This window comes from Homo sapiens, chromosome 17 (genome assembly GCF_000001405.40).
Source record: "Homo sapiens chromosome 17, GRCh38.p14 Primary Assembly".
Lineage (NCBI taxonomy): Eukaryota > Metazoa > Chordata > Mammalia > Primates > Hominidae > Homo > Homo sapiens.
The window spans coordinates 71,915,631-71,932,571 of NC_000017.11; the positions used below are offsets into that span (position 1 = coordinate 71,915,631).

The 16,941-nt window shown below is 40.1% G+C and overlaps 1 annotated feature.

Moving 5' to 3' along the window:
• Positions 6,222-6,351: a silencer, noted in NCBI's record as "silent region_8908". NCBI's record gives its function as "represses an Ori minimal core promoter by ATAC-STARR-seq in GM12878 lymphoblastoid cells {active_cell/tissue: GM12878}" and the evidence as "EXISTENCE:reporter gene assay evidence [ECO:0000049][PMID:35858748]".

Below are 16,941 nucleotides of genomic sequence, written 5' to 3' on the forward strand. Positions count from 1 at the left end.
AAGGAAGGAAGCTTATCTGAGGCTCCAATTAAATTAGTCCATCTGGCATTGCTGGTCCTACCAATGCCAACAGTGGCGTCAGAGATTAAGGAAGAGAGGAAGAGGGTACTAGGAGACATCAGATCATCCAAAAGTACATGTGATATTTGGGACATAATTATACTAAAAAATTACTCATTGTTTATCTGAAACTCAAATTTAACAGAGTTTCCTGTATTTTCTCTGGCAACTCCATCATTGATACTCATCACTCACCTTTGTGACTGAGGACTAAGCTCTGTTTTTGTTTTGTTGTTTTGTTTTGTTTTGTTTTGTTTTGCTTTGCTTTGTTTTTGATCTTGCCCAAATTCCTATCTAAGGGGTCCAGGGAGTCAGGCCCTATAAACCATAAATTCTCACTAGATGGGTTTTACTAAACCCTATATATTGTGTCCTACTTTCCAATCTGACTCTGGCATAACATTATGAGACAAGGAAGAAAATCAAAATATTTTCCCCCCAAACATGTTTCTTTGCCATATCCTGAAATGGCCCTGAAAAGCTGTCCTTGGTAGGGGAAAATGTGTATCCATAAATAATCTGTGTTAACTTAGTTAGATCTTTTTCTTCCGGGCCTTCCCAATCCTGAAGAGATTAAGTAAGAGCCTAGCAACTTTTTGAAGGTCTGAATAGGAAACATTTGTCATCTATTGTCTCCAAGGGCTGCCACTATAAGACTTCAAAAGGACCTTGGTCTCCACAGTCTTTTATTTTAACCTGAACATTTCCTTTCTATTGATCCCAGGTCTTTAGACAAACTCAACCAATTGTCAATCAGAAAATGTTTGAATTTACCTATAGCCTGGAAGCTCCCTGCCCCCAACCTTTGAATTGTTCCATCTTTCTGAACCAAATCAATGTGTTTCTTAAGTGTATTTGACTGATGTTCATGCCTCCCTACAATGTATAAAACCAAGCTGTACTCCAACCATCTTAGGCACATGTTCTCAGGACCTCCTGAGGGCTGTGTTATGGGCCATGGTCACTCATATTTGGCTCAGAATAAATCTCTTCAGATATTTTACAGAGTTTGACTCTTTTCATTGACAGGACAATCCTCCTGCCTCAGCTTCCTGAGGAGCTGGGACTTCAGGCATGCACCCCATGTCCAGCTATTTTTTGTATTTTTTGTAGAGATGGGATTCTTGTCGTGTTGCCCAGGCTGGTCTCGAACTCCTGGGCTCAAGCAACCCTCCCACCTCAGCCTCCCAAAGTGTTGGGATTAAAGGTGCCTGGCCTGTTTGATCTTTATTTGCCCCAAGGGCCTAGAGTTCAAAACAAAATAGATCATCTACTAATGCTCATTGGATGAGTAGATGGATGGATTATTAATATAACTCAAATCTTTAATTCTTCTAAGTTCCATATTTCACATTAAGTGTCCAATTTTAAGTTCATTGGGGAAATAAAATCAATGAGACCATTCAGTTACATGAATTAAGATCAGACTATTTGATATGGGAGTTAGTTTCTGCATTTGGCAGGTTGATACCAAATTGGGGTGAAGTGCTCTCTTGGAAGGTGAAACGAAGAAGTTCTATTCAATCCTGAGTAGCTAACACCTATTGACGCCTCATTATAGGCTACTATATCTTTGTATTAACATTTAATTCTCACAAAACCCTAAAAGGTAGGAGACTAACTCTCTTTCACAGATGAGAAAAGTAAGACACAGAGAAGTTAAGTAATTTACTCAACATTACACAGCTGTTAAGTAGTATTGGAATTTGAAGCCAGGCAGTCTGGCTTCAAAGCTAGTATCATAGTATCATAACTATACAGCTACGCAGCATCTCAAATAGAAAGATACTAGGTATTTAACTATGCTGGCTCCATAGCTTTAGCTTCAGGAAGTAAGTGAATTTTTCTGGAATATCTATGTCTGGCCTTCTTTCTCTACTAGCCAATACTATTCATGAATAGAGCTGTCAGAGTCATCTCCTTCTGCAACCCTCTCTCTCCCTCTCCCCCATATAACCCTCAGCCAACATTGCAAATGGCTTTCCGAAATAGTGACAACATACAAGAGAAACTCCCAATGGAACTTATGCCCCAATTTCAAGAGTTGAAGTAAATCCTCCTTCCCTCCAACCTCTGCCCCAGAAAAGAGAACAGGGTAGAAAAGTAGAAACAATTCATGCAGTCTAAGAAGACATATTTTGTGAAACTTGGTGCTTGTTGAGTGGAGAGGATGGGACTGAAGATATCTCACAGACTGTAGACTCAAGTCCAATAGGTAAACAGAGACCCGGAAAGCTGGACATAATTTATGTTATTAAAAGATGACTCAGGTGATCTCAAGTGACTCATACCATTCATGTTTTGAGGAGAAAATGATTTTGGAAAATTTCTTAAAGTCATTTCACATAGAGAACTATAAAAATATTAGGTGTCACGCTATTTTATCTGCATTTGATGGAGATGTAATGTGCTTTATTATTCAATTTAAAACTAATATTTTAGGTGATGACAGGTTGAGAAGACTGGATTCACAGAACTGGAACTGGAAATTATCAACTGGGAAAATCTAATGCAGCTTGACTGATGGCTGGAAGGAACAGTAAGCTTGAATTAGCATTTTGGAAAGCCAATTCATCAGCTGTCATAAGCCAATGTTAAGGGGAAAAATAAAGTGTTAAAACATGAGATCTTTCACTTAGAAAGAAGGAAAAAATGCTACAAAAGGCCAATGGCTTCATATTAAGAGACATTTCCAAAGAAGGGTGTCCAAAGTATATCCTAAGATTTGTTTTTTTCCAGAACTACTTCTAAAGAAAACTAAATAATTATTCACTTGTAATGATTTGGGTAAAATTCTCACTGGACAAATAGGGATAACCAGAATGATGCTTTATTTCCTAAGATTATTTGAATTTCATGTCAGAGGGCTTTCAGTTCAACGTACAGTGACCTGTATTCATTTCTATTCCATCATCTACCCATATCTTGCCACAACAGCCCACTGGATTTTGGTGTTCCAGGGCTTAAAAACACAGCTGAGGGATCTGCTACTTCAGAAACATTGAAAATCACTGGCACTGTCTTGGGATATCAATGTCCTATGTTCCATGTTCCTCAACAAAACAACCAGATGCCTCAAATCCACAATACTTTCAACATTCTGAGTATAGTGAGGAAGAAGAGAAATGCCTGCTCTATTTAACCAACACCACCCAGGCCATAGGGTCTTCTCACGGTCAAGCTCAGTAGATACAAGCAAACCCAATACAGGATGCAGTAGGGTACATGATCCAGGTGTGTAATTGCCCAGGTCTGTTGATCCATTTCATCTCATCAGGATGCAAAACCTCATTTTCTCAAAGCAAAACTCTCAGCTTCACTCCTGGGTGGAGGTGAGGGGGAGCATATAGATCAAACACAAATAATGAGAATGCAGAACTTCCTGCACCCACCTTTCATGGAAGGGAAACTCTTGAGTAACCTTATCAAAGTGGATATGACCAAGGGGTACCATTCTTTATGCTTTGGATCTGATGCAGTCTCAAGTCAAATTGATTCCCTTATTAAGAAACATCAAGAAAATTTCACACAGAAAACACTGATGGTACAGGGAGATAAAGGATGGAATAGGAAAAAGAAAAGAAAAAAACAGAGCAAAGCGGGTAGAGAGGTTTCCTGAAGCCTTGCTCAGATTGAGACTCTGAATCTCTGCCAGACCATGTGAGGCTTGCTGTTGTTTTTCAAGTCTCTGTTTCATTAAGACCAGGAGTTGGGCAAAGTTCCCTCTTGATCATGAGGCCAATCTGCTTCTCTGTTATTGCTACCATTGAGAAGGAAAGAAAAAAACATATTTGGCATTATAGCTTAGACAAATCTACATTTCATTGTGGAAGATTTGTGTTCATTCAACTTTACTCAGTTCCGATCTGTTCCAGCCAAATCACTTTTTTTATCCTTCTTCCTCATTATAGTAGGGAACAAAAGGAAAAGACAGGAGATAGAGATGGAAATAGAGATAGAGATAGAGATAGAGATAGAGATAGATAGAGATAGAGGGGGAAAGACAGGGGAGAAATAGAATATAGGCTCCTTACGGCCCAGTGAATTCTGCCCAGCCCCCTTTGAAGTGGTACATTTCCTATATGTGTTCAAAGATTTGGAATTTGGGTTAAACTGTTTCTTGATCACCAGTTGTTTCAAATATGGAAAGAAAATAAGGAGTCATTATGGCTTGGTTGTTTTTTAAAGAAATAAAAAATCTTTTATAAGGCTGAATACAACACAAGTAGGACTATCTTGGTTTCTACCCTCAAAATAAACCCTTGTTTCTAATATGACAAAAGAACTTCGTTTTAGAGCGATTATATCCATTACACTATTCCATGTCTTGATCTTTTAAAGGAATGTTAACAGAATGTCTCAGGCTTGACCAGTTGTAGACAATAATTATGCCTAGCGGTTCCTTAAGATCCTGTGACCAAATGATTCATGGCAAGCCCCGTTTAGCATTTATCAGTGTATTTGCTAGTGGCACAAAACAGTCCCTATTTCAAGAGAACTCTTCGATGTGAAGCTGTAGACCACAGAAGATGAAAGACAGAAAACCTGGAAAATAAAAACCTCATCTTCGAAACTGGCATTAGCCGACTGTAATATTTAAAAACAACAACAAAATCTAAATAAATAAAGTAGGGCTACAAGACTTCAGTTGAAACCAGAACCAGTTGTCCAAGTGCCTTATCAGGAATGATCCGAGCCCCGAGATGGAGGTGAAGTGAATGAAGTAAGCGAGCTAGAAAATCAGATCCTCAGAACAGGCAAATCTACCCTTCTCAGGTTCTTATGCATTTGGAAAAGGTCTACTGCATTTGGGATTATTTGACTTTAAAAAAAAAGAAAAACTGGTGACTACTGACTTCATTTTCCTTAAAAGTATAGATAGATATGTATACACATATAGCTGTACAAATACACATTCCAAATAAATTAGAAAATGATATGATTAGTTTAGCATGGTGGTTGCAGTCACTTGCACGAAAAAAAAAAAAAGGAAGAAAGATCTAACTGCCTGTTTCTGGCTATTTAAGGAATTTAAAGGACTCCACACAGGTTTATCCTAGTAATGCATTCTGAGTTTGGAAACTTAATATCCGCCATCCTGATCAAAAATGACCAAAATTGATGTGACCAAGTCTCTGAATTGTAGAATATTTCAGAGCATGTTTTGAATATTACCTAGTATTTGTCCTACACAGCCAGAAAAGGCCAACTCAGGAGGCAGGGGTTGGGAAAGGGAATAAAAAAGAAGAAGAAAGAGTAGGGAGTGCAGGAGGAGAAGTGGGGAAGAGGAGTGGGGAGAGGTAGAAAAGAGGAAAAGAAATAAATAAAAATTACTGGCCAGGCACAGTGGCTCACGCCTGTAATCCCAGCATTTTGGGAGGCCGAGGTGGGCAGATCACAAGGTCGAGAGATCGAGACCATCCTGGCCAACATGGTGAAACCCCATCTCCACTAAAAATGCAAAAATTAGCCAGGTGTGGTGGTGCGTGCCTGTAATCCCAGCTACTCGGGAGGCTGAGGTAGGAGAATCACTTAAACCCGGGAGGCGGAGGTTGCAGTGAGCCGAGATCGTGCCATTGCACTCCAGCCTGGGTGACAAGAGTGAAACTCCATCTAAAAAGAAAAAATAAAGTTACATTATGATACAAGAAAGAGGTGATTTATTTCCACCAATCATCGCCAAGAACCTGATATTTTCACCAACCACAGTGCAACGTGCATGATTTAGATCCAGCACCTTTAAGCCGCTTACCTAATGAATGATTCATACCTCAGATCAAACCCAAGCTACAAGTAGCACATTGAATTAACTTGAGAGGGATAAAAGAACCCACTGTAAGCTCTCTTCCACTCATTTCAAAATGAACTCCAAATCTCTTTGGTTTTCTTAGGAGACTTTCAAAAACTGACCTGTCAGTAGCACACTGAGACTTACTGCATGACCAGAGGATATAAATGTTAGGCATGGTACATTTTTTTTCCTCAATGCATTTGACTGTATAATTGTTATAACAGTTTTTTCTTCATCCATATTTACCTTAGCAGACAAATTACAAGACAGGAATTCTGAAAAAATTGGCACTTACTTGATATCAATAAGTCAGTGGGAGAAGTGTGAAGTCTTATCTTGATCAGAACATTCTCATTGACTGCTTAAGTAAACCACATCACCAGATGACTACACCAACCCCACCTAACCCAACACTGCTGTATGCTGAAATAAAACACAAGCCAGAATAAGTGTCTGAACCACATACTTCCTGGGTGCCTACTGTTCTAAGCACTATGCTGGCTGCTGGGCGAATAAAAGCTGGTAAACAAGAGAGGCATGATCATTGGTTTTACAGATTTTTCATCTAGAGAGTGAGAAAGTCATTCAGGAAATAGTCATCCAAATGTGTCAAGTACTGTGAAGGGCAAGTGCTGGGTATCGTGACATCATAAAGTGGAAGGACCTAATTTAGGTAAGGTAGAAAGGGGAAAGATATCAGCAAAGGTCTGAACTTGTTACAAAAACCTTATTTTCCATTGCACACTCAAAATCTCACAAAAGTGACATAAAAGACAATCTGAGTGAGCAAAGGAGTGAGGGTTGATTGATTCATTGGAGTTTTAATTTTTATCTTGTTTGAAAGTACCTTTTTTTTTTTTTCTCCAGGTAAATGGGATACAGGATTCCACTGAGAAAACAGAATCAACAAGAGAGAGTAGACAGAGGCTTTCTGAACTGGAAGTCAACATGAGGCAGCTACCATAAAGCCATGGAGTAACTATCAGTGAGTTTCTGCCATCAGGTGGGAAGAATTCTCTTTGCTTATGTCATGGTGAAGGGATATCAGGTGACTGAAGCAGAAATTCACCCAGAAGCCCTGAAGCTGGAGGCACATGCTTTCAGTCTTTATTGCAATTCTCAGGAGCCCACATCCTGTTTTCTCCCAGGCTCTGAACTCATCTGCATAGTCAGAATGTTCCTTCCAGCTCTGGGTCTCTGTGCTGGGTTGGGAACTATTTTAATAGCCCCTTGATGCCTCATAGGTTTACTATGAATGGCATTGTGCAAGAGGGGCCCAGCTCCTGGTGTCTGTTAAATTATACTACTATTTTGCACCTTGAATTTCCATACACAGAGCAAAATGTAAAGCCCTCAGTCCTTCTTACCTATAGAAGAACCAAGACTAGGACTCAGGCTTCCTGATTCCTTGCCGGAATCCTTGCTAAAGCGTTTATTTTTGTATCTGTGGGTAGCAAGGGGAAAAAGGTACCTTATCTTTTCCAGATTTGAGGTTTGTAAAATATTATGTGCCCTTGTCTAAATTGCAGTGTCACTTTCTACAGTATATTTGTATTATTAAAAATTGATCAAGTTAAATGACTGGTAAAATACGTGGTATAGCACCAAACAATTGCCGAGTGAGCTTAAATGCATTTCCAGTACCTGCTGTCACAAAATCTCCTGTGAGCATCAGGAAAATGCTAAGGTTTTATTTACCATAGTAAGAGTCATCTTAAACATATGCAAAATGCATTTAGCCTAATATAGGCTATAAGTGGATAACTGTTTAAACTAAATGTTTCATTTAACTGCCCTTATTAAGTGCTCTAAGAACACAGGATATAGAATCACAAATTGCAGACTTGGAAACGGTCATCCAGTCCAACCCCTTATCAGGTGTTTAAATGTCTCTAGTGATAGAGGTCTCACTACCTCCTAAACAGCCCATTAGGCAGCTTTGAATTTTAAAAGCTGCAATCCAGAAGAGCAATAAGAAAGAAAAAAAAAAGTCTCCAACTCGACTTCAATGTACAGAATAGACAAGTTACCAAGAATACAAAATGGCATTTTACCAGGATTGTTAAATGAAGAAATCATCTGTTAAATAAATAAAACATTGCCTTAAATGGGAGCAGAGATGATGTAGAGCTAATACACCAAGACGTTAGTTTAACAAATGTTTATTGAATATTTATTATATACCTAGCATGGCTGTAGGCATTAGGGATAAAATAATGAATAAAATGGACTATGTTCTGGTAGCTTGTAATAGAATAGGTTGTGTAAGGATGGTTTGTACAAGTAATGATAGTAAGCAGTTTTTGTGCTACATGCCAAGTTTCAAGTTTTGTTCTAAGCATTTTATGTATGTTTATGTATTTGAACTTCATGACGATCCTACTGAAAGGTACTCTTATTACCCTGTTGTACTCCTCTATATGAGAAGACTGGAGTTTTCCCCAAAGTCCTGAAACTAGCACATGAAGAGACCGTGTTGTTCATCCAGGCATCTTAGCTTCAAGCTTCATCTCTTAGTCATAGTGCTTGGCTGTCTTTTAGAAAAGGAGGGGAGGGCCAGGCGGGGTGGCTCACGCCTGTAATCACAGCACTTTGGGAGGCCGAGGCAGGCAAATCACCTGAGGTCAGCAGTTCGAGACCAGCCTGGCCAACATGGTGAAACCCTGTCTCTACTAAAAGTACAAAAGTTAGCTGGGCCTGGTGGCACGTGCCTGTAATCCCAGCTACTCGGGAGGCTGGGGCAGGAGAATTGCTTGAACCTGGGAGGCGGAGGTTGCAGTAAGCCCAGATTGGGCCACTGCACTCCAGTTCCAGCCTGGTGGATAGAGTGAGACACTGTCTCAAAAAAATTAAAAAGGAAAGGAGAGAGAGAGAGAAAGAAAAACAAAGAAAGAAGGAAAGAAAGAGAGAGAGAGGAAGGAAGGAGAAGGGGAAGGGGAAGAGGGAAAGGAGGGAGGGAGGAAGGAAGGAAAGAAAAGAAAAGAAAAGTAAAGAAAAGAAAAGAATAGAAAAGAGAAAAGAAAATAAAAGGAAAAGAAAAGAAAAGAGAGAGATGTTGCATGCGGTGGCTCACGCCTGTAATCCCAGCACTTTGGGAGGCAGAGGCGGGCGGATCACGAGGTCAGGAGATCGAGACCATCCTGGCTAACACAGTGAAACCCTGTTTCTACTAAAAATACGAAACATTAGGCGAGCATGGTGGCGGGCGCCTATAGTCCCAGCTACTCGGGAGGCTGAGGCAGGAGAATGGTGAGAACCCAGGAGGCAGAGCTTGCAGTGAGCCGAGATCGCACCACTGCACTCCAGCCTGGGCGACAGGGTGAGACTTGGGGAAAAAAAAAAAAAAGAAAGAAAGAAAGAAAGGGAGGGAGGAAGGAAAGGAAAGGAAAGGAAAGGAAAGGAAAGGAAAGGAAAGGAAAGGAAAGGAAAGGAAGAAAGAGAGAGAGAAAGAAAGAAAAGTAGGGGCGGGGGTGTTGTTTGATCAAAGGGGAACTACTGAGGCTGTGGGGTGGAGGCTTCCTGGAGGAAATAACCATGATGTATGACCTGATAGTCAAATAAGAGAAATAAATGAAGTTTGCTGCAGGTGGAGGCAGTAGAGGGGAGTTCTTCTGCCAAAGCAATAACAGGTACCCAGGCTCAGGGGAGTAGGAGAGCCCGACATGTATAAGAACAGAAGGGCACAGGGTGCCCAGATCGCTGAAGGGCAGGAGGGCCAGGATTAAGTACAAGCTAGATGGTGACTCAGTGGGGATGAGTTCACTTTTTGTTGCTTGGATCATTCCTTCATTTATGAATTTTATTTATTTATTTCTTGAGACAGAGTCTCACTCTGTCACCCAGGCTGGAGTGCAGTGGCATGATCTCGGCTCACTGCAATATTCACCTCCCGGGTTCAAGCGATTCTCCTGCCTCAGCCTCCTGAGTAGCTGAGATTACAGGTGCACGCCACCACACCCGGCTAATTTTTGTGTTTTTAGTAAAGACGGGGTTTCACCATGTTGGTCAGGCTGGTCTCGAACTCCTGACCTCGTGATCCACCCGTCTTGGCCTCCCAAAGTGCTGGAATTACAGTGTGAGCCACCGCGCCCAGCCAAATTTATTTATTTAACAATGATTTATTTACTAAGATGTGCTAGTCACCCCCACAAGAGCTCCATCTCCAGTGCCCCTGCCCATAAGGTGTCCCTTGTTCTGGATGATATGAGGAGATGAAGGACCAATAAATACACAAACAAGCAGTATAGCTTTGAAGATGGAAGACAGTATTGTAAATGTGTCTTTTCTTTCTAAGTTAATCTACAGTTAATCAAGGTGGTTAATGTTTGCCCAATCAAAACACCAAAAGTATGCTTTGAAACTTAAAAGAATGATTCTAAAGTTTATCTGGTGGGCAGGGGAGATGTGCAAGAAGAACCAACAATTTTCTCGAAAACAGATATAAACAATTTGGGGACAGAACTACCAGGTAATACAATGTATCACTGGGCCATAGTAACTTTAAAAAGAGGTACCAATGCAAGAACAGACAACTGGCCATCACATTGCAGCCAGCCTGAACTTAAAATTGACATTAAAAAATCGTTTAAAAATCATCAATGATTGGTGAAAACAGAATATCACGTTAATTTTCATTTCTTTCATTTCCATTAACATTGGATGTCTTCCATGTTTGTTGGCCATTTGTTTTTTTGTGTGTGAATTGTCTGTTCAATTCCCTTTGCCTATATTTCTGTTACTTGGGGTTTATTTATAGATTTGAGATTTTTATGTGACAAGAACATTAAGGTTTGGTAGCATTTCTCTGTTGGAAATGAACCCATGCATTCATTTTAATTTGTTGACACACCAGTACTTACAACTATCTCTAGCCTTGATGTGCACACATATGTACTTGTGCACACACAATTGCTTGCCTAATCATTGTTCTTTCTCCACAATGATAACAAAGATGAGGCAACTGAGTAAGACAAACATTATCATGGCACAGTTTTTGGGATCCAACTTGAGCCAAGGAGTGAAATATCAACAATGTAGCTTCCTTTTATAAGAAACCTCCGGATACCTGAAAAAGACATAAAGACTTGGACACTTGAAGAATGTGTGTCAATTTTAAGAATTTTTTCTAAGCACTTATCATTCACCCTCTTTCTACTATCTATCCTTGACTATTAAAAAGTGCACATATGCTTTATTTCTTTCTAAAGATTATTTCTGTACAGATTCCATGATATTTTAGAGGAGACAAGTAATTAAATGGGTAGCCTGACTCTCCACTTGTCTAATATCTGAGTAAATAAACAAAGAAGTCTCCCAGCAATGCACTCACTCACAACACTAAATCCACTGTCTATGATTCTCCCTCCCTCAGAGTTGATTGACTTCTATCCTCCAAGTTTCTTCTAGGGTTGGGTGCCCACTGGAATCCTGGATTACAGCATGTGGTATATTTATCTACTGAAATATGAGCTGTGGGTACAATGAGCAATGCCTTGCCACAGACACCCCATCCATCTGCTGAAAATAATCAATCTCAGAAAATAAAAGTCCAGGGAAAAGTTAGATTTGGGTACATGCCGAGGATTAACAAGGGCGGAACGGCAGTTATTTTATTAACTTGGAATCAGTGCTTGCAAATGGATTTGGTTATTTACCATTGGTCTAAAAAACGCATCTGTCATATAAAGGCTGGAGTTTCAGTCTGCACAGCAGCCAGGCAGATTATACAGAGTCGCCTCTTGGATGGGAAATGATGTATTTGTCAGTGATGGTTGTTTATTCCTACTCCTGAAGTAACTCATGCTCCAGATTGATCACCTTGTTTAAAGGACCATCACACCATCTCCACATGTTTCCCTTAAGCTTAACTGAATATAGTATTAATGACAAATAATAATAATAGCTCATAACATTCATTGAGTGCCCGTGATATACCAGAAAATTCAGTAGCAACAAAATTAAAATCTCATTTAGTTCTCCTAAGACCCCTTTGAAGTAGTTATTATTACATTTCATTTGTGGACTCACTTATAAGCCAAGGCTCAAAGAATATGTCACCAGTAAATTATGGAAATGAAGATTTGAACCCAAGCCTCCACGACTCTAAACCCAGCCACTCTTAAGGGAGCACCACACCATTAGAAAGTTAGGCAAGACTGGGTATTTGTCCCAGTACAATCTCCCTTACTGGAAAAATAAGAAATACCCTCCAGTTTTAATTATGCCGATCTCAGATTGACAGGATATTAGCTAACCAGGGTGAAGAGAAATATTTCTAATAACATCATCTCTCCTGGAGAGTTGGGGAGGTAGAGGATTAAAATCCTAAGTGACTCTCCATACATTGTGAAGCTTAGGAAGATAATGCACATGACCAAGCCCCACCATTCCTTTGGGCAAGGCTGTCTGCAGGCATTTTGCCTTTTTACCCTTGTTCATGGGAAGAGCTGCCTGAGCCACAACATACTCTCATCACTTCCCAAATTAGGTTTCCATACATTTATTCCTGAGGGAAAGAATCTGGTTCAGATGTGATGGTTAATACTGAGTGTCAACTCGATTGCATTGAAGGATGTAAAGTATTGATCCTGGATGTGTCTGTGAGGGTGTTGCCAAAGGAGATTAACATTTGAGTCAGTGGGCTGGGAGAGGCAGACCCACCCTTACTCTGGGTGGGTACTATCTGATCAGCTGCCAGCATGGCTAGAATATAAAAAGCAGGCAGAAAAATGTGAAAAAGAAGAGACTGGCCTGGCCTCCCAGCCCACCTCTTTCTCCCATGCTGGATGCTTCCTGTCCTCGAACATCGACCTCCAAGTTCCTCAGTTTTGGAACTCAGACTGGCTCTCCTTACTCCTCAGTTTGCAAACAGCCTATTGTGGGACCCTGTGACCATGTGAATTAATACTTAATAAACTCCCCTTTACATATATATATATATATATATATATATATAAATATATATAAACTCCAATCACTTTTTATACATGTGACTCCAATCACTGATCACTATAATTTATATCTATATTGCTATAGATATATACACACATATGTATGTATATATATGTATAATATATATACACACATATGTATGTATATATATGTATAATATATATACACACATATGTATGTATATATATGTATAATATATATACACACATATGTATGTATATATATGTATAATATATATATACATATCATATGACTTCTCTCCCTCTAGAGAACCCTAATACAAGGTGGAAAAGTATACGTAAAAGAAAAATAAGAACTGGAAGCAAAAAATGAGGAGAAGCAGTGTTGCAGTGGGCTCTCTAAATTTCATCTTGGATAATAACATAAACTCTGAGTCAGCTTGACTTGGCTGTGAATCCAGACTCTAACTTGGAAAACTGACTTTTCTCTTCATCTATAGAAATTAGGGAGAACAGAACCTGTTGAATGGGGTTGTCATCTGGATTTAATGAGATAAAGCAAGTGAAAGCTTGGAACATCAAAAGGATTCAATGTAGGACAGTTATTGTTATTTTTATTAGTATTATTATGTTCTGTCCATCCCCCTTTTAGCATCTATGATACATGTTGCAGACTTTCCTTTTCACCTGCTTCATATATCAAAGTGTCACAGCCTCTTATTTTTGCAGAGTTGGCAGGACAGGCTTATGGTGAGTAAGAGAGAATTGGCTTTCCTGCTTGCTTTTAAAATATTTTACCAACCTTGTTCAGTTTCAGATATGGCCAATGACGAATGAACTTATTTTCATCATTTTTTCATCTGAAGTAGAAGCAGAAAGAATGGAATTCTGATGGTCCAGCTATTCTCAACTCCTTTTTTTTCTTAATATAAACAATGAATAGCTCCTAACTTGGCATGTCAGCCACCCACACTCTGCTATCTGATATTGAGGCAGAGGTACCAACTCCTTTAAAGATCTATTTTCCCCCTATAACATGTCAGGTTGCCATCTTCAACATACTATTTTCATAATGCTTTTCTTTAAAACCAATTGACCAAATTGTTGAAGAAAATTTGGGGGAAAAGATGTAGGCTGGCAAAACACAGTTCTTAAAAATCAGAGCTGGAAGGAAAGATGTTTAACTTGGAATAACGATAGGAGACTCACACAGAAGCACAAGGGGTTGTAGCTGGAGAAGAAGGCAACTGGAAGAGGACAAAGAAAAGTGACAAAGAAAAGAAACTCAGAGAGCCTGCCTGAGTTTCTGGAGGTTAACCCAACCTGCTCAAGGAAGGCACTTTATTTTGGTGCAGAACTGGATCACCACTATTATATATTCATAAGCATAGCCTTCTGATTATATTCGTACAAACTGGAGAATCACTTCCAAAGAGTTCGTATGCCAAAACAGTGTCTTTCAAAAGAGGGTTCACAGAGATAGGCAACATGATTCACTGCCAATAAAAAACTCAGATCAGCAACATTATGGAAGAAAAATCCAATTAAAATCAACCCGGGGGTTTCCTCTGCTGACGTGGAATCACAAATTATTTTTCTTATCCCACACAGAGAGACTTTTCCCTGTACAGTCCCAGAAATGAAGCCGAAGTGTCAGCTTCAATATGAGAATTTAATTCTACATTTCCTTCAGCGGATCACTAATTCCAAGGTTCAGCATGCCTAAATGTTCTGTGGTTGAGTAGATTTTAGTGGTCTTTAAGAGATTACCTCAAATGCAACAGACTCTCAATACAAGACCAGAAATATTTTGAAAGAAAAGAAAAACACTCTCTACTTCTTTATAATTTAGCTTTCAAGAGCTTAAAATTATTTTAAAACATATTTTTGTATCAAAATTGTGCCAGCTTTCAGACATGGGAGATGTCCTCTTCTTGTTTTGCAGACAACGTGTCATCAGTCAAGTATTTATTGGATCTTGAGTTATGCATAGCAATGTGCAAAGGCAGTTGGAGAACACGATAAAGAGGGAAGAGCTGCCTGCCCTCAGTGGACTTCCAGTTTAATTGGAAGCCCTTTGTTTCATGTAGTCTTCTAATTATTATTATTTTACTTCTTCTGGACATACAATTGTTTGACATACAATCAAACAACAGAAGAATCTTATCACTTGACCCATCTCAATTGTATAGGATGACTCCAATCACTGATCACTGGAACTTACTATCTGTATTGCAACTTTTTTTTTTTTTGAAACAGGGTCTTGCTCTGTTGCCCAAACTGGAGGGCCGTGATGCCATCATATTTCACTGCAGCCTTGAACTCCTGGGCTTAAGTGATCCTCCCACTTCAGCCTACAGAGTAGCTGGGATTACAGGCGTGTGCCACCACACCCAGCTAATTATTTCTTATTTTTATTTTTTTGTAGAGATAGGCTGTCTCACTATGTTGCCCAGGCTGGTCTCAAACTCCTGACCTCAAGTGATCCTCTTGCCTTGGCCTCTCAAAGTGATGATAGGTGTGAACCAATGCACCCGGCCTGTATTGCAACTTTTTACATGAAGTTGCCCAAGGATGTTTATTTTGTAAGGTGAGGGACACAAATGCATATGTGTCCACGAGTGAAGCCAAAATCAGTGAGCAGAAGCAAAGGAGAGGGAGAGTGCCGAGCAGTGGCAAGTTAGGTCAGAAAGGAGGTAACGGGCAGGAGTAGGGCTGTGAAGAGAGGAAAAGCATTCATTCCAAGGGAAGAAGGTAATAGATGCAAAGACACGAAGTGAGAATGAGCCAGGTGTGCGTGACGGCTGGGAAGCCGAGTGGGCTAGCTGTTCTCTTTGCTTTGGCGAAGATAAAGTTGTGCGGAGACACATTCGCACTGAACTTTAAAGTGTAGGAAACAGAAAGTGTTTTGTCCCCTTCGGAGAGTGTCCCATTTTCCACTCAGGCCACAGCCCTGACTCGGCGATCCTCCTTCAATGGGCGCTTATGTTCTCGCCAGGAAGGGCAGCCCTTGCTAAATGTTATGGTTTGGAAGGATCCTTCACAAGGATGGAAAACCGAGTTAATTCAATTAAGGCCCGGGGTCCTGGGCTTTGAACCAGCCACAGTCTCAATTTTATGAAAGGATGAAAAGTTAATTATTTGCCGAGTTTGAGTGAAGTCTACTTTGAAAATCCCTTTCCAAAAGAGTAATTTCCACATCGGCTTCCCTGTGGAAAATCAAGGCAGGTTGAACCAGGGTCATAAAGAGAACCTCAGGAACTGGTCTTCAGAGAGGTCCAGCACCCAGTGGCTCGCCTGTCTCCATACCACATTCGAAGGGCTGGGTGGTGTCTGAAGCCTCTGTTTGTCCCCACAGGCTACTTCGAAAAATAGAAAAGGAAATATAAGTTGAATTCAGAAAGTCAAGGTTTTTAGGGTGCTTTTTTTTCTTTTCTTTTCTTTTTTTTTGAGACAGAGTTTGGCTCTGTCACCCAAGCTAGAGTGCAGTGGTGTGATCTCGGTTCGCTGCAACCTCCGCCTCCCAAGTTCAAGCAATTCTCCTGCCTCAGCCTCCTGAGTAGTTGGAATTACAGACGTGTACCACCACACCCGGCTAATTTTTGTATTTTTAATAGAGATGGGGTTTTGCCATGTTGGCCAGGCTGGTCTTGAACTCTTGACCTCAGGTGATCTACTTAGGGAAGGTCTTAATAGTTCATTTGATGGAGGGTTTCACTTCCCAACTGGCAGCTTCCTGGCTGCTTTTAATGTTATTGTTTTATTTAACTTTAACATTTTAACTTTAAAAATCATGTACACATATGTACATACGTTGATAATATAACAATAAAACAATTATTCTGGCTGGGTGTGGTGGCTCACACCTATAATCCCAGCACTTTGGGAGGCTGAGGTGGGTGGATCGTTTGAGCCCAGGAGTTTGAGAATAGCCTGGGCAACATGGTAAAACCCCATCTCTACAAAAAAATACAAAACATAGCCAGGCATGGTGGTGCATGCCTGTAGTCCGAGCTACTTAGGAGGCTGAGGCAGGAGGATCACTTGAACATGGAAGGCAGAGGTTGCAGTGAGCCAAGATCACAACACTGCACTCCAGACTGGGCAACAGAGCCAGACCCTGTCTCAAAAAAAAAAAATACGTAAATAAAACAATTTTTCTGATGTAGAAAATATAAA